Source organism: Homo sapiens, chromosome 13 (genome assembly GCF_000001405.40).
Source record: "Homo sapiens chromosome 13, GRCh38.p14 Primary Assembly".
Lineage (NCBI taxonomy): Eukaryota > Metazoa > Chordata > Mammalia > Primates > Hominidae > Homo > Homo sapiens.
Window position 1 is genome coordinate 20661200 of NC_000013.11, and position 19179 is coordinate 20680378.

The 19179-nt window shown below is 40.2% G+C and overlaps 1 protein-coding gene across 52 annotated transcripts in view; it reads left to right on the forward strand.

Annotated features, from left to right (window-relative positions):
- Positions 1–19179, forward strand: part of IFT88 (intraflagellar transport 88) — a 124288-nt gene that overhangs the window by 94043 nt on the left and 11066 nt on the right. For 41 of the 52 annotated variants that reach the window (XM_047430655.1, XM_017020757.2, NM_001318493.2 and 38 more), the window contains 2 exons: positions 2299–2405; positions 9774–9840. In XM_047430655.1, coding sequence (XP_047286611.1) covers positions 2299–2405; positions 9774–9840 — 174 coding nt within the window. Of the gene's footprint in view, positions 1–2025; positions 2188–2298; positions 2406–9773; positions 9841–19179 lie in introns of those variants that run through there. The other 11 variants (NR_134653.2, NR_148463.2, NR_148464.2 and 8 more) reach the window with 4 other exon arrangements.

Sequence of the window (19179 nt, forward strand, 5' to 3'; positions counted from 1 at the left end):
AGGGGACGATTGACATAATTAGGTTTTACAGAGGAAGTAACATTTGAAGTGGCCTTGAAGGGTACGGAGGGTTTTACCAGGAAGGAAAGGCAGGAACAGGCACTGCAGGTAGACAGTAGCATTAGTAAGGGCAGAGTTAGAGGGATGCAGAGTCTATTTCAAAAGGTAGTCTATTGTGGAAAATGTAGCAGATTGAAGATGTGTTTTCTTATACTACAAACCAAAAAAAGACAGTTTATAAAAACTATAAATGCGGCTGGGTGCGGTGGCACACGCCTGTAATCCCAGCACTTTGGGAGGCCAAGACGGGCGAATCACGAGCCAGGAGTTCAAGACCAGCCTGACCAACATGAGGAAACCCTTGTCTCTACTAAAAATACAAAAAATTAGCTGGGCATAGTGGTGGGCACCTGTGATCCCAGCTACTCAGGAGGCTGAGGCAGGAGAATTGCTTGAACCCAGGAGGCAGAGGTTGCAGTGAGCTGATATTGCGCCAGTGCACTCCAGCCCAGGTGACAGAGCAAGACTCCATCTTAAAAAAAAAAAAAAATTATAAATGTACAAGAACAAAGAGATAATTAAATTTTAGGAATGTTTTCTGCTTAGCAGATTAGAAGAACTGCAGAGGTATGTAGGTAGTGGAGACGTCAGCAGAAGCAAAACAATTCTTGACATAGAACCCCAGGAAATCCCGGGAATTGGAGGCATCAGAAAATGGGAGGGGTGCTGGCTGCTTCTGAAAACAGGAGGGTTGGCTGCAAGTCTGGATGTGATACAGCTAGATTTTCAAATGCCCTACCTAAATCGTACAGCAGGAATTTAGGCAGAATGCAATGATGTTGTTGGTGGATGATGTCGGGAGATGTATTTGAAAGATATTTAATAGAGCCAAAATGATTAATTCTGGGACGAAGCTTCCAGAAGAAGGATCAGGCAGCAATATTTGCTGTTCTGCAGCCTCTGCTGGTGATACCCAGGCAAACAGGTTCTGGAGTAGACCTCCAGCAAACTCTAACAGACCTGCAGCTGAGGGGCTTGTCTGTTAGAAGGAAGACTAAAAAACAGAAAGGAATAGCATCAACATCAACAAAAAGGATACCCACAAAAAAAAAAGGCCTACCGACCAAAAAAAGTCCAGGACCAGACAGATTCACAGCCAAATTCTACCAGAGGTGCAAAGAGGAGCTGGTACCATTCCTTCTGAAACTATTCCAGTCAATAGAAAAAGAGGGAATACTCCCTAACTCATTTTATGAGGCCAGCATCATCCTGATACCAAAGCCACACAGAGACACAACAAAAAAAGAGAATTTTAGACCAATATCCCTGATGAACATCTATGTCTCTGGAAGGATGAGTAATGAGTAACTTTTATTTTTTGTTTTTTACCTTTGTATGTTTTACAAATTCTCTATAATGACCTGCATTGCAGTTGTATTGAAGGAAAATATTATTTTTAAATGAGATAATAAAAATATTTTAAAGTAATTTAGACCACAAATGGCAAAGGCCATTCTTACAAATGTAAAGACAAAATTATTGTGTTTTTTAGCATCTATTGCATGTTTTTAAAATGTTGCTAATTTTAGAAACACAAGCTTGAATGAAAAAGCAAATTCCAGGAGACTGTATACAGAACAATACCATTTTTATAAGACCCAATAGCAAGCAGAACTAAACAATATGTCATCTGGTGATATGTATAAAGTGATCGAAGATTTTGTTGTTGTTATTGTATACAAGACATGATTAACACAAAACTTTTTATTGTGATTATTTTGTATATATTTGATGTCAACTGTAAGACCAGCCACTGTAAAATACATCTTTTTTATCTTCCTAGTGCTTTGCACAGTGTGAATAATACTTAATTTAAAAATGAATTTACTGACAGTAATAACATTAGTAATGATTATTATATGTATAAACTGTCTACACTTTTTAGCCTAGTCTCTCTTATAGCTCTTTATATGTATTTATGAAACTGCTATAGAACATTAACAAATGTTACATTTGCCTTCTAAGTTCTCTGCCAGCAGTGTCCTGTGCCATGTTCCTTCTAGGTTCTGGCAGCGTGAGGACAGGACACATGGAGAGAGACCCTTTAAACCTCCTTCCAAGGAAGTCAGTTCTCCCTGGTCCAGAGATTGCAAAGTGTAATTATTTTTCAGGAGAAAAATACTATTTGTAAGCATCATTCCTACCTGTATCCCAAAAGACTGAGTTCACTGATTTATTGAGCTTTTAACAAATATACTGTGCCTATATTCTTTCCTAAATGTATATTTTACAATTTAGGTCTGCGTTTCTTAGTTCGTCTCTGCACAGATCTTGGATTAAAAGATGCTCAAGAATATGCCAGAAAACTGAAGAGGTTGGAAAAAATGAAAGAAATAAGGGAACAGGTATCTCATATGGGCCCCAAACTGCAGTCTGTTAATTTTTAGAATGTCAGCCTTCTATAGCTCAAATGTGTGATGTTAGGAGCTTCTATAAGAAAACAGAGTTGAAATTTTTTTCTGCTCTGACATAATAGGAGGAATAACTAAAACTCTAGTTTGAGGATAAAATTCTGGCAAAAGTGGATTCCCAGGGAGAGGAAGTGCAATAGATTTCATATTATCTTAGTGGATAGCTACTAACAGACAAATAATTATAATTTTCCACAACATGAAATAGCTTACAGGTTAATTTGAAGACATAATTTTAATTGGAAAGTCCTGTGGACCATGAGAGACAGTTACTTCTCTGCAACAATGGAATCTGTGAGTGTGTGCTTTAACAAGTTTTCTAGGTGATTTTTATTGTCGCCAAAGTTTGAGAAGCACTCAGGCTTTATGCTCCTTGAAGGGTTACCTTGATCAAATACCAACTCAGGATATAGAAGCTAATTTAAGAGGTGAAAAAGTAGACATAAAATATATCAGGCAGTGGATTTTCTTAAATTGTTTTAAAATGGAAAAAGATTTGTATAAACTTAAGAGAGGAACATAAACCAATTCAGGTTTATGTGGGTCAGGGTAATTTCTCTTGCTGATTCCCTAACTCCTGTTTTAAAATGTTAAAACTAGAAGTTTTATCTAAAATGATTTTTCAGAGAAACTAGTCCTCTTTCTGGAACTATTATGGAAAGGAAGACTGTTCTCTTTTTTGTGCTTGGGGGAATCCACATTTTTGGGTAAGAAGAAAACATTGTACATTGTACATTGTACATTCATTAGTGCCAGCAAGAAGCAATTGTGGCACTGGGTTGTTGGCCAGGCAAGACAGACTCACTCTCAGCCCTCCATTCCTGAACACTGTGAGCCCCATAATGGTGTGGACCAGCCCCTGGAAACTGTAAGCCATGTAGCAGTGCTGTTTTTTAAAAGATGTTTTGCTTTTCTGCTTCACTGAACATGAAAAACATTAGCAGACAAACAAAGAGGTCTGTCAAAGCAAGAGTGTATGTTTGGAATAGAGCAAAATGGGAAGAGCAGGGCTTGAGGAATGAATATTTTAAATATGAAAAAGGAAGAGAAAAACAGCCAAAACACCAAAAAGGTTGGAGAATAAAGGTAAACTATTAAGAAGAAAAAGAAAATAAAGAAATAATAGAGACTGGGCACGGTGGCTCACGCCTATAATCCCAGCACTTTGGGAGGCCAAGGTGGGCAGATCACGAGGTCAGGAGATCGAGACCATCCTGGCTAACACACTGAAACTCTGTCTCTACTAAAAATACAAAAAATTAGCCAGGCGTGGTGGAGGGCACCTGTAGTCCCAGCTACTTGGGAGGCTGAGGCAGGAGAATGGCATGAACCTGGGAGGCGGAGCTTGCAGTGAGCTGAGATCCTGCCACTGCACTCCAGCCTGGGCAACAGAGCGACACTCCGTCTCAAAAAAAAAAAAAGACAAAAATGCAGAATATTTTCATTGCTAGTCTAAAGATAAAAATATATTCAATTTTTAAATCAAATTTCTAAATTTTCAGACTATTCAAATACAGAAATGCTGTTTCAATATTTGCCAGTTTTCCCCCAAAGTAATCAGGAAACAATGCCAAGAAATGCTTTCTTTTGGCCAGATTGACAAAATAGCATGTGACATTCAAAATTAATATATCATTGGTACATATACCCAAATTTCCAGTTATTACCAAAATGCAATGAAAATAAATGTATAGTCAAGTTGAGCAGAAACCCTTTTGGTTATATTTCTTAAAAGGAGAGAGATCCAGTATTAAGATCCCATATTTAGCTTTAAAATTAACCAAACTAAAAAATGCAATTTTTAAAAAATTCTATATGTGTAATAATGGCTTTAAGAATGTCTTGTACAATTTATATATTATTGACAAAAGTCAACAAAACTACTGAACAGAATATATCCTTAGTACAAAACTGATGGTGATTTGCATGTTGATTACATTTTCTAGGTTAAGATCACCAGTCATTTCTTTAAGGCCATTGATTTCAGATACTCTCATGCATTGCCCTGTGTTAGCCTCTCTGTTGTTTCGCTCAGAAAACATTGATTATGATCTGCCGTGCATATGGAGGACACAGTGAGGGACAAGAGTTGGCCCTGGTGCCTGAGGCACTCTAGGCAGAGCTGTGGGACCGAGAGGGGAAGGTCTTTGCTCCGAGAGGAGGTACTCAGAGGCAGTTCCCAGACGGGCTTGTGTTTGGAGTGGGCATGATTGGACACTTGGAGTTTGGGGTGGAGAGAAAAAAATGTGGGCAGAGGTCTGAGGACAGGAAGTTAAGGCCACGTTTATGGGTCCTTTGGAATTGAAGCCACTAAGGAATGTTTTTAATTTTGTTTTCTCTTGAATTTACGGTCAGCCAGTCTTCTTAAGAACCCTTAACTACGTAACAAGTAACTGCTCCTTGTTCCATAGAACCGAAACCCAATTCTTAGGAAGTAAATGCGTAGTATGGTGGACAGAACCCCGTACTTTTTTCCTGACATGACCATTGGTCAACCGTGTGATCTGGAATGGATGTTTACCTTTCTGGACTTCATTCTTATCAGCTGTAAAATGAGGATAGCGTTCTAGCTTTGAACTTCTCAAACTATCTGTGGTGAAATTATTTTTTGCCAGTCTGTCACTGACATTACTAGAAAAATGATCCTGCACTTGGATGTCAGCAGGGTCCGACATCCAGCAACATTTTGATGCTGTGCAAGTTTGTAAGCACTTGCCCTCTGTTCATCTCATTGAGGACAGGTGGCAGTTTGTGGGCCATCAGTGGTTTCCAGACCCCACTCTGGGTGGCCCATCCTGGATAACCCATAGGACCCACCAGCTCATAATGGTTCTTCCAGTCCCCGGAAGAGTAGCATGCGAGTTTATGGTCACAGATTCATAATAAAGAGTAGGTTTAAAGGGAAAAAATGTTTATTTTCTCTCTTCCAGCATTTATTCACTTAATTTGTTCACTTATTTTATTTGTGGCTACTTTGCTCCTCTATTCTGTGCCTTCTCTCATTTTTTTTCCAGAGTGGGAATGACATAATATTTTTTCCAGGTTAGGAATCCCATCTTTTTTCCCTATTATGAAAACAATAAATGTTCTTTTAAAAATGCAGGAAAATTGCTTTTGTAAATAATTTTTAATCCAAACAAAAATATATAAAGAAAAAAGTGAAAATCACCTATCCCACCACTTAGACATCACTGTTATCATTCCCCTTTCCCAGGCATTTTTACAAATATATACAAACATATATCAACACATATATTTTTAAATGGGACTTTTTTTAAAACACAAATGAGATTTTTACAAAAAATACTGTTTTATAACCTCTCCCACCCACTTCGCAGAATAACATGGACCACTTCCCATGTCAGTAAATACAGATTTCCGTCACTTTGTGCTCCATATTTTGTTACATGGCTGTTTCCTGCACATCTTAGCGTTGAAGTGATAAGAATCATTTATGTCAATCATTGTTTAAATGCTTCCTCTCTTACCTACCATGAGGCCTTATCTCACATCCACTCCAAAGTGATAAGAATTTCTGTGAACTTTATGAAGTGTTAAAACTCTGGAAGGATGAGGGGAATAATTCTGAAAAGTGTGTCTCCTACTTGAGCCCTCATATACCATATGATGAGAATGTCGTCTTCACTATGTTTACAAGTGTTTACTGTGCTCCTAAAATGTACCCATGCCTGTGCTAGATCTGAGGTGGGTTGCATGTCAGATGAGTCTGTGTGAGACAGGACCCTCGGGCCCCTGAGAGTGTGGGCAGGAATTCCCTGCCCAGTGTCCCTGAGGAGCAGCAGTGCCCACAGCCCAGGGTGTTCCCCGTGGAGTTGGGGAGCTTAAGCTGCAGGCCCTCATTTGCATTGCCTCTAATAAATTTTTATTTTTGCATTCATTTCATTTTCACAGTTTTTTGTTTTTGTTTTCTTTTTTGTATTTTTTTTTTTTTTAGTAGAGGCAGGGTTTCACCATGTTGGTCAGGCTGGTCTTGAACTCCTGACCTTGTGATCCGCCCACCTCGGCCTCCCAAAGTGCTGGGATTACAGGTGTGAGCCACCGCGCCCAGCCCATTTTCACAGTTTTATATCCTCTTTCTCAGAAAGTTTCCCCCAAGCTGTATAAGCTTCTGGCCCCACACATTCTGGATCTGCCCCACTGTCACCATTCTTTATCCTTCCAGCCAAAGAACAGTGTGCTTTATCTATACTTGATCTTTATTTTCTCACTTCCCAGGTGCTCTTCAAATCAGTCTAACCTTGACTGCTTCCATTCACACAGCTAAAACTACCCTCACTAAGATTAGTCACTTACATAGCAGTCAATATGATGGACACTCTTAACTTTCCGTCTGCCTGACTTAGCAGCAGCTCTGTATATGTGGCGTTTGTGACACACCCCTCCTGGCTTCCTTCAGTTCCTTTGCACTGCACTGAGGCCACTTTACCTCCATCACACTCTTAAAGGGCAAGGTCAGCTGCTGGGCCAGCCCTGGAATACCCGGTGGGGCATCACAGAGTCTGTCCTGTTGCCTGGTGGGATTGCTGTCTGCAGCAGCTCTGTCTCTTGGGTGTTTACTTTGCATCTCCGAAGGAAGCACTTAGATCATGCCTGAAAACACTACTGAGCAGAGCTCTGTTGTGTGAATGGTATGAGAGATGTGCAGTTAACTGAGTCTTGACAGTTGAGATTTCTTTTTTTTTTTCTTACATAATAGGCACATTCTTAGAGAGTTCTTTGAACTTAGAACTTTATCAAACTAAGGTTTTGATAAATGTTTTGGTTTTACTTTTGAAGTTGCCTTCTCTGTAACTTCCACAAGAAATCCTTGCTACAGCTATTACAATGGTACAGCTATTACAATGGTTAGTACACAAGACTCCTTATGGTGGAGTTCACTGATTCTCAACTGCAAATAGGCATTCAGTTGGAAAAAAACACCACATTCTCTGTGCACAGGAGGATGATGAAGGAGAAAGACAAACCGGTAGAGTCGGACCCTGAGCATAATGAGAGCACATGGAGCCAGTCCCGACCAGGGGACACACAGGGGGTCTCCTGAGGAGATGAGGGAGGAGGAAATAGCTGAAAAGATGAGGGAGGGCAGGCAGACAGGGATTAGCGGACCCATCCATGCAGGGTCCATGCCAGCTGGCATATCCAAGGAGATGCTGTTTTCCTTTTATTCTCTAAGCAGGCAGGACAGTCAGTTCCAAAAGTGATGAGGACAAAAAGTGGTGTCTACGAGAAGTGAGATGGCCTGCATGGGGCACACGGGAGGATCTAAGTGAGCAGTGGGGAGCCCTGAGGCTTGCCTGGTTTTTGTACTGATGGAGCTGTTTCCCCAGCACAGTGTCCTGGGAGTAGGAGAGGAAAAAGGGAAGGCACTGAACCAACCGAGGCTTAGGTTTCTCTTGATGAGTGAAGCAGAAAGACAAGAAGGAGGCAAGGACCATAGTTCCAATGTGGCGTCATGGCACGTGGTAGGCCTTGATTCTAGGCTGGACAGAAAGTAGGAATTTAAAGAGTTTAAAAAGAGAAGAGTGATGAGAGCCAGAGGACTGGAAAATTCTAGATGAGTGCAGGGAACAGGTGTCAGGCAATAAAGAGTGTAGTGATTATGGAAGTGCTTACTTACCTTCGCATATCCTGTTCTGAACCTCTAGTCACTTAAACAGGATACAAGTTTTCACATGTGGTTTTAAAAACTGTCAAGCTATGTGGACATTTGTCTTGATGAATTTATTTTCAGCATTTTTTTTTTTTTTTGAGACGGAGTCCCTCTCTCTGTCGCCCAGGCTGGCATACAATGGTGTGATCTCGGCTCACTGCAACCCCCACCTCCCAGGTTCAAGCGATTCTTCTGCCTCAGCCTCCAGAGTAGCTGAGATTACAGGCGCCTGCCACCACACCCGGCTAATTTTTATATTTTTAGTAGAGACGGGGTTTTGCCATGTTGACCAGGCTGGTCTTGAACTCCTGACCTCAGGTAATCCACCCGCCTCGGCCTCCCAAAGTGCTAGGATTACAGGCGTGAGCCACCACACCGGGCCTATTTTCAGCATTTAGAGGTCTTTTTGGTATGCTGGAGATGATCCATCTGTGGTTGGATGAAAATCAAGTTTTGAAATAAAGTCAGATTATGGATGTTTAAATTCTTACTTTGCTACATCTTTTTAAGATTTTCTTTCATCTATGAAGGCAAGGAGAAAGTTGATATTTCAAGGGAAGTGCTTTTCCTTTTAATGGAAAAAAAATTGGATATGTTTATGAAACATTTGGAAGTCCTGAGTTTTAAGAGAGTATTTCATCTTACAGAAATGAGTTAATTATTGAAAAGAATTTCTTTCTTCCTAGCAAACCACAGACAATAACTTTATCCATGACCTGACAATTTATAAATATTTGGGAAGTTGTCAGGGTTAAGGAGTTAAATAATTTGTCTTTTGAATTAAATATGAAATTATGTTTATGTCTTATGTTTATATTATTAAAGATCTAAATAAAATATCCACCCATGTTAAGAAGTTTAATTCAATTATAAACATAAAAAGCCATCTGTCTCTGTTCACTAATCATCCTGTAGCTGTGTAAATGAACCATTATACATATGAAAATTTGATAGTGTGACTTGAGGCAGATTCAATGTTAATACAAAAATTCTAATACTTAGGCAAAACAGAACCATAAAATGTAGAAAGAAACCTAACAATGCCACAGTGTGGAGATACTTCTTAGGCTTTGAAGGCGAGTCTGTATCTAAGAAAGTAGACTGTTGGACAGATCTTAGGTCTTTTGTGAGGTTTTAATCATACTTTTATTTTATAAATTGAATTTCAAAACTCAGCTTACCTTTTTTTTTTTTTTTTTTTTTTTACCCTCAAATAGTTCAGGTCCAACCATTGTATATGAGGACTAATGGCAAGAAATGGCCCTTTTGTAGATTCTTATCCCCTCCTCACCCATCCCTCCCTTAAACTAAAGATCATGTTTAAGCCCTGAATGTTCACATCAAGAAAATACTGTTTAGTTTTGAGTTGTTTGTGTAAGCCAAGGTTACGCTGCACTTTTGAATTAAAGTGCTATACGAGTTTTCTCAAGAGCCTTAGAGGGGAAGGCTTGAACCCTCCACTTACAAAACAACTCAGGCTTTTTTTTTTTTTCTATAGAATCAACTCTCAGGTATGATGGGTTAGTCCTAAGGGTAATGTAGTAATGTTAATTTTAAAATCCACCTTTATCTATATTCAACTTTGAAGGAATAGCACTTATTCTTTTAAACTTGTCTTCTCTTTGCTCTAGCGCATAAAGTCAGGCAGAGATGGCAGTGGGGGCTCCCGTGGCAAAAGAGAAGGAAGTGCTAGCGGTGGTAAGTATTTTCTCTTTCCCTGAAAAACTTGGTTTCCACATTTCTAGTATGTGGGCTTCTGGAAACATCTTGCAATAATCTAAAGTGTTCTTATGTGTCTGTCGGTTTGTTCTATACACAGTGAAACTTCACATTAATTAATTTGGTAAGCAGTCAGTCTGATATGTAAATGAGTATTTGTAAATGCTAACAGATTTTCTTAAATAACCATGCTTGTTTTTGCTAGTTGATTAATAAACAAGTTTTTCATTTATTAATCTCTCAGGTTGGACAGATTATCATAGATGGGCGTACTTATGAGGTTTTGCTGTGTTACATTTTTAAAATTTCCATTTGAAGGAAGTGCCACGAGAAGGAGGATGGTCCTATGGAATGCTGACAGCCCTAAATCTTTAGTCTGACTTTTAGTGTAGAATTAGTGACAAGCTAGGAATTAGGAGACATAGTGTGAGTCCCAGTCTTGATCGTGACGATGTATATATGTCTTTGGACCAACCACATAAATGCTATAGGCTTTTGGTGATTTCTGAAGTTCTTTGCATCTCTAAAATTCTTTTACTCCTTGTGACATCATTACATAATAAGACATTTTATTGAGTTTTCCACCCCTTCTTCCCATCAACAATCTACCTTCTTTCTCTACTTCAGGCAGGCAGTGTAAGTTAAACTTAGTACAAATTTGGTGATTTTAAAGAAGCTAATTTTAAAAATAAATGTCGAATTGGGGTCTATAAATATACCTACATTCTCTCCTATCCATACTCAGCACTCTCATGCATATATGACCTAGCTCCATGTAACTATCCAGCTGCATTCTGTCATATCTGTTTGTGATGTAGGAGTCAGGACAAAGACAAATGTAGCTCTTAGTTAGGCAGGCCTTTCATCCATTCACAGTGTTTATTGGATGCATACTGTGTGCCAAACACTGTGCTAAGAGCCAAGGACATGGGAACAAATAAGACGTGGTCCCCATGCTCAAAGAAGTTAGAATCTAGTTGGAAAGACACACAGCTTCTAATGGTGCTGTGGATGCTGCCATGGTAGAGAAATGTACATGAGTTTTCAAACTTTCCTAGGGATAGAAACTGCAGTTGGGACAAAGACTCCTTGAATTCAGAGCTGTGCTTTGAAATTCAAGGAGTCTTCGTCCCAATTGCAGTCAAATTCAATTTATAACTTAGTAGGCAGTTACAGCCATCAGTGGCATCGGGTTCTAGCCAGGCCACTTGATTCCCCAAGAGTCAGTCCAGCGTCTCCAGCTAAACCTCATGGTGCTGGCCTGTTTATCTTCAGGAGCCATTACCCAGAGCTGGAGAAATCAGTAAAAGCAGCATTGAGCCCAAGCCTCAAGAGTACCAAAGGCAGTCTGTCACATCAAAGAGTAGCCACTTCCATCTCTTCAGCCACCATGGTCCTGATGGCTACTCCTGTCTCCTTGCTCTTCCCTAGCCCCAGATATCTCACACACTCCACTTTAATGGATCCGTGTGACTATCTGGGGTTGGATTTAGTCAGAGAGATCTGGCCCAGCAGTTCTTAAGCCAGAGGCAGCCATAAGCCCACAGCTCCTTACCCAAAACCCCTGGGGCCAGGTGTGTTGTGGAATTCAGAACCTTTTGGAGTTTAGAAAGCAAGATGTATTAGCCATGTATCACATACTACCCAAGGAGAGCACCTCAGACATATTAATTCAGTGAAACATGAATATTCACACTAAGGATAAATAAAGACTATGAATAGCCTCAAATCAAGTCAAGTTCTATACCCAAGAAGTTTATATATTGCCACCTGAAGAGTTGGCTTTCAGAGCTCTTTGGAATTTGGAATTGTAGATGGAGGGTCATGGATGTGTACCAAAAATGTTCTTAACAGCCAAGAAGTCCACAGACTAGGCATTGTGCAACAGTCAAAAGCAACTCTAGACAGCTCCCCAGACCAGCACAGTGCTGCTTGTTCATCCTTGCTCCTAGGAAGCAGGAAGTACGTGATATCAGCTCTCTTGGAAATAACTGTCCCTTTAAGGAGTAATTGTCTTGAGTAACCCCTAAGGAAGTATTAAGTATTAAAATTCTAGGGCCGGATTCACCATCCCCTAAGGATTCTGCATTTCTCTCTGAAAATCTTAAGTTCAGAATAACCAACCAGTTCCTTCTAAACATCAACAACCTTATGTTAAGTTCTCTGACCCTTCCCTGGTAATTCGTAAGTTTATAAAATCTCTCCCCTTAACTTAAGCCTTAGTTTCCCAGATGCCATCACTTTGAAAATCTGCCTCAGAAACATCAGTACCTCCTAATGGGATGTGATAGAACACCCGAAAAACTGCTGAATGGTGTGGTGCTTCCCCAGAGCCCAGGGGACAGTGTCTGGGGTCCCACCCCTGAGAAAGTAACCCCAGGAAGACTGACAGCTGCCTCTCGGAAACAGATTGATCAGTGTGCCTCAGGCCACCGCAGGTTCAGATCCTTTGACATGAAGAATTGCCCAGCCTCCCTGGTGACCTTTCCCATAGCCCTCTTTCAGTCATGCTGGCATTAGAGCACAGAGAGGGCTTCACTCGGCCAGGGACCTCCTCCACGGTCAGGGAAGAAGGGACTGACAATGAAGAGAGGTAGGGCCACCCCAGATCTGATACCTGTGTGCTATAAAAGAGAGGCCTTCCTCTTGAAGAGTTCCCTTCTGGTCCTGGCCTCCCACTGCTGCTTTTTCTTTTTTAATCTATTTTCCTTTCTTTCTTCCAGTCCATTTCAGTCCAACACAAATAGTCAGTTCTAGTGCACAAATAAGCTTTATTCTCACATGAGAGACTTTTGGCATACAAACTCTGTGCTCTCAAGGCATTTTACAAGCAGGGTTGCGTGTTACTAGGTTCTTCTGGCACAAATTTAAAGCACTCATCAGTCCCTTCCTAGGGTGCTTTCCCCCATCATTTGCCTTTTCGTTCCTTATTTTCTGACATCTCGAGTTATGCATCATCCCAGACTTTTTCATTTCATCCTGGAGCCCAGTTTGAATGCTGCTTTCTGTGGCTGAGCTGGTTCCACGCTGACACTTTTGCAGGAATCGTGTTTTCTGTCCGCCTTCTCCAGTTCTCAGCACAGGCCACACTCCAAGGCTGGCCCTGGCTGTGAAGTCGGAACAAACCCAGGCTGTGAGGCTTCTCTCCCTTTCTCCTTCCTTTTGATTTCAAAGTCTTAATAGTTAACAGTATTTATATTCTCTGCAGATAAACTGATGAGGGGAATAACTATATTCTGTCCATTGTTTTGGTTGAATTTTGTTAAAGGTTGAGAAATTGACAGAACACATCTGCTTCTCATGTGTAGCTGTCCTCAAGACACAAGAATTCCTTCTTAGATGGCATTTTCTATTTTTGCATGATAGTGGCATTTTGTGACTTATTTTGAGTATGGTGTTATTAAGCTTTCATTTTTAAAGTGCTTTTTGGTTTACCCTGTGTGATTTTTAATGGCTTTCTGCATTTTTTAGTTTGATTTTTATGTCTTGGATATAAACTTTTCCAATGAAAATGGATCAATTTTAGACTGAAAATAATTTTATAATGAAAATCAGGATAAGATTCAGTGAACAGAAATTCACTTTATGGTATCTTTTATAAAGCACATTGTAAACATATTTTATTTAAAAAAACTGAAGTTTTATATATATATATATATATATATTTTTTTTTTTTTTTTTTTTTGAGACAGAGTCTTGCTGGAGTGCAGTGGCGTGATCTCTGCTCACTGCAAGCTCCACCTCCCGGGTTCACACCATTCTCCTCCCTCAGCCTCCCAAGTAGCTGGGACTACAGGCACCCACCACCACGCCCGGCTAATTTTGGGTATTTTTAGTAGAGATGGGGTTTCACCATGTTAGCCGGGATGGTCTCGATCTCCTGACCTCGTGATCCACCCGCCTCAGCCTCCCAAAGTGCTGGGATTACAGGCTTGAGCCACCGCGCCTGGCCAGTTATATTTTAATATTCTAGTCCAAGTTTGAGCATGGCTAATTAACACCTTTCCACAGTTTTGCTGGGGCCTGATGGTGTCACAAGCAGAGAATGAACAAGTCATGCTCAGTGCCCACAAGGGAGGACGAGACAAGGAGTGTACGCTCTGAGGAGGTGCATAGGCCTAAATGTAGAGGACAGGCCGACACAAGTCAGCCAATTACAGAAGGAATTGCTGGACATCTATGTGGGGAGGGAGTCTTGAGAGGCCGGGGGGCGGGTGCTGTCACTTCTCTAAGGATCATGCCTGTCAGCCTCAGTCCCAACTTGCATGTCCCTTTACCCCATAAATCTAGACCACAGTTTTGCAGGATACCCGAGTATCCAGCCCACTTTGTATACGGTATGTATCACAAAGGAATCTTGATGAATAATAAGTATTAGAAGATAGTGAACAGCACCAGAGCACCAAAGTAGTCTCAGTGTTACAGTTCCAGAAAAAGTTTGCCTATGCCAGTATACCCAGCTGGTGTAACCTGCCAATGTGTCGTCTGTGTTCTGATACAGTAATTCTCAGTAATTTGGGGTGTGCAGACTTTTTCTGTAAAGGGCCAGGTAGTAAATAGTTTAGGCTTGCAGGCCAAGTCTCATCTACCGAGAATATTCCACTCTGCTGTTGTGTATTGAAAGCAGCTGTACACAGCGTGTAAGTGAATAAATGTGATAGTGTTCTATAAAACTTAATTCTTGGACACTGAAGTTAGAATGTTATATGAGTTTTATATGTCACAAAATATTATTATTGTTTGCTTTTCTTCCTAACCATTTTAAAATGTACAAATCATTAGCTTGCTGGATAGACAAAAATAGGGTGGGCCAGATTTGGCCCACACACTGTAGTTTGCTAATCCCTGCTCTAAGCCAAAGTCTCCATGAATACTTTTGGTAATGACAGGTGGGGCCTGGGAATTATCCTTTTGATCAAAGCACTGCTTGAAGCCATTTCATCCTGGTATACAGCTTGAACAGTAAAAGTCTGTATCAGTGAACTTCTCTTAAAACCACCTTAGTTGTTTACAACTCACCCACCTTACTAAGTCAACACACATCACAGAGCATATGATGAGATTTTGTATCTTCAACAGAACATGCTCCTTAACTCTCGCCCTTAGCCTGTTGCCCTGAGTTTTCAGTCCTTGTCATAATCCCATTCCTGGCATTCATTCAACATCCATGGACCACCTTCCTGAACTCATCACATCTTATGTGAACAAGTTACTTAAATCTCTTTGTCACAGTTTCCTCATCAGTAAAATGAGACTGAAAACAGTACCTTCCTGATAGGGTTGCTGAGGAGGAAATGGGCTCATGTGGAAAGCTCTTAGAGAAACTCCTGATAAGGGCAAGCATGTGCAAGGGTGAGCATGGCTACTGTGACTCCCGCCTGACAAAGGGAGTGCATGGGCAGGGCCTGGAATACCAGTGTCCACTGCACTGCCAGCGCCCATGTTCTCACCACTGCCAGTGTGTGACCTCTGAGTGTGAGAGCCTCAGTTTCTCCCTAACACAAGAGGGTCATGTTTATCCATGCAGTGTAACCAAGTGTACCCCTGTCTCACTGTTGAGTTGAATTTTGTTTTTTTAAACAAGAATTACTAGTGCTTATAAATAAAAATAAATGTTGGTTCTTGAAGTTACCAATTTGGAAAGCTGAATATTTACTTCAGTAATGCTGCTGTTAATCAAAACATTTGTGAAACTCCTTTTTTATAATTGCCTGCAGAGGCAAGTTACAAAAAGCACAGGAAATTGAATCCAAAACTTTTACAAAATACATATGCACATACATACATATATATGCATACACACATATATATGCATGCATATATCCTATCTGTAAAATATATACACATGTATTTTATATATACGTGTGTGCTCATACATACAAACACACATTTTATGAGTTTTTACCCTCTTTCCCTTCCTACCTTTCTGCTGTTTTATCTACAGATAAGCATTTTCTCACGTTTTCTAGCCATAATAAGTACTCAGTAAATACCAACATTCTTCCAGCTTCACCTCTCATATCCTCTTTATATGCTAGGTATTAAGTATTTAAGTTTGCCACATAACAAATATATAATGTTACCTCCTTTGTTCTCTTCACTGAGTCCCTCCAGAGTCTCCCTCTCCTCACTTGAGTATTGCCTATACAGTAGCTATCGGCGTTCATTTTTACAATTTTAATATATTCCTGTTAGGTTTTGTTGGGTAATAATGTAATGGGATCAATAGAAGTAGGGGGTGAGGGTTGAAATCAAACTGAGAATTGCAGCTGTAACAATGTAAGAATGAGCTGAAATTCTCAGAGTAAGGCTAGGTCCAAGCAATGGTCCTTGTAAAATTATCAGAGTATTATGTCATCTGAGCTGATAAGGTCATTACTTTCTTGGACTGTTGGTTGGGAAAGTACTTTGGATCCCTAGCTGTGGTGCGCTGCCTCTTAACTTTGGAAAGGGACAGGAGCAAAGGAAGATCAGCTTCCTGGTAATAAGAGGATAGGCCATTTGCAAGTCAGATTACAGAGCACCTAGAAGTAAATTGGTCAGTAAAGGCCTCCTAAAGGTCCCAAAGTTATTGTCTGATGCTCTTCAGTGTTTCTAGATATAAACAAATACTTCCTCATACTTAAGGAGTGAGAATAGATCTTAATTATTGCATCTTAATAGAGGCTAAATTGAATATCATCTTCTTAAAAATAGAAGAGAGAGACAGACCAAAAAGCTTTTACAAAGTGTCTAATGGATAATGAAATCAATTTATAGCTCACCAAAAGAGAGTTATTTAAGAAGAGATTTGAAAAAGTAAGAACCACTATATTCATAACACATTCAAAGGAATGGGCAGAATTTTTTAGAAAGTTTCATTTTAGATAGTACTTTCAAAAAATAAGAAACTAATAGGGGCAGTTGATAGACTTCCTAGCTTAAGGGAAGGGGAATGTTGAAAAATGATTATATACGTATTATAATTGGGCCTTGAAGACTACAGAGGGCCATTAGATTTTTCAACTAAGATAGTTTTGATAGCCTTAAAGAAAGCAGTCTCAGTGTACTGTTAGAGGTAAAAGTCAGATTCTAATGATTTAAGAAGTGAATGAGTTGCAGGGAGGTAGAGAAGAGGATATAAACTATTCTCTCACACATGGTGGTGAAATATACAGCCTCACCAATAACTAAAACAATGCATACTTGCCAAGACCAGCTCAGTTATGGAGACCCTAACCCAGCAGTGCTAGAGGAATTAAAGACACAGACACAGAAATAGGGTGCAGAGTGGGACCAGGGGGCTGACAGCCGTCAGAGCTGAGAGCCATGAACAGAGTCTGACCCACATATTATTGACAGTAAGCCAGTGCTAAGCATTGCTTCTATAGATTATAGATTAGCTAGAAGCATTCCTTATAGGAAACAAAGCATTTTTAGCAAGGAGCAGAGAAACAGGCCCTGGCTGATTATCTGCAGCAAAAGCATGTTGTTAAGGCACAGGCTGCTCGTGCTATTGTTTGTGGCTTGAGCAGTTTTCCGCTCCGGAGGGGCCAGGTTTTCCTTGCCCTGCTCCAGTAAACCAACAACTTCTAGCAGTGTGAACCAACAACTTCTAGCAGTGTGTGTGATAGCCATCACGAGCATGTCACATTGCTGCAGAAATCCTGTTTATGACCAGTTTCTTTAAGGCCTGTTTATGACAGGCTTAGGGCTTGCTACCAGCATGTCTCCCTTTTCGTTTTTGCAAAGCGATAAAGACAAAGGCAGCTTTGTCACGGTGGGCTACTTCTCGCAAGATTTGGGATCTGCATCGGCAGACTACACAAAGACAGACAACACAGATTAAAAGCACAATCATCATTGAAATCACAGAGCCTCCAAGTGTCTTGATCCACTTTAATGGGTTAATAGCTGCTAATCCATCTGCAGCTCCTTCAAGCACTTCAGTTCCTGGCATTAGCGTCAGATGTGCCTGAGAGGCTTGAAATACTTGTTTCTTCAGTTTTACAATATCTAAAGATAAATTTCCAGTATGACCCTTTAAATGTCTCCTAACTCTTTCCCACTCGTGCTCTGTTTCATTATACAGATGAGGAGTAATGCAAAAATCAGAAGTATTCCAATCACATTGTAACTGCATTCTGTATTTTAGACTAACTACTCAATCTCCTAGCCACATTACAGTTTGTCGGAGATCATTGATTTGATTAGCTAGTTTCTGGTCTATATTAGTTTGGGAATTCCACAGCAGAGTAGAATTTTTCTGCCAATTATTTACATAGTCTGCTGTTTGTACTGTGGAATGCAGAGCAACTCCAGCTACCACGGCAGTAGCTGTGACAGCAGTCAATCCCGTAATGATTAAAATTAAAGTGGCAATTAAACGCCGAGAGTGCCTCAAAATCTATCGAAGAATTTCAGTAATAATATGCGCAGAAGGAGAGGCTTCCCAAGGATGGGAAAGCTTTACAGGTATCCATACGCCTTCTCGGGCTCTTACTACTAAAATAGAATGATCAGTATTATACAAGGAAGAATTCACACAAGAAAACAATCTATATTCTTGACAAGTCATATGATGATTAGGGAGATCAAGTTTTAAATCACCCACTACAAACAGGAAAGGCGGACAGACACAACTATGTATCCAGACTGAACTGTTGTGAGCCAATTCTAACATGTAATTAGGATTATATTGGGTTGGCTTAGTATATTTTCCTTCCCAAATCTTTATCTTTTTCAGTGCCATTAATATTTTCCATAACTCCTTATGTTTAGCTCTTACATCAGGTCATATCATTTGGGGTTGAGGTACCACTATACCACCATATGCCCAAATAATAGGAACTCTTGCTGTACTTCTTATAGTGTCCACCATCTGATTATTTTGTTTATATGCAGGGTGACCATTAGCTACAGATTGAGAGGTGAGCCTCATAAATGCCCCTTTAGGGGACCAATCAATAATGACTCCATATGAATCATTACACAACACCTCTGCCTGCCTTGCGACACAATCTTCCCAAGCAAATACCTTCATTTTTGCTGACCATGTCCAATCCAGTTTACAGATAGGTTTTTGAGGGTGGTAAACTTCGGTTACAGGAGCATAATAATTGTGATAAATACTAAGACCAGAAAGCATATGTAATTGTGTCATGGAGATGTTACATTCAGGCACTATCGCCAGCCAGGATTGATGACTGGGAGCTAAACACCTATTGGCTTTTCCCAAACAAATAGGTAAATCCTCAAATCCCAACAAGATATTCATAATAGTTCCTTCCTCTTAGGGCTTAGACGGGCCTCTATCATCTATAGAACTAGGCATCTAAA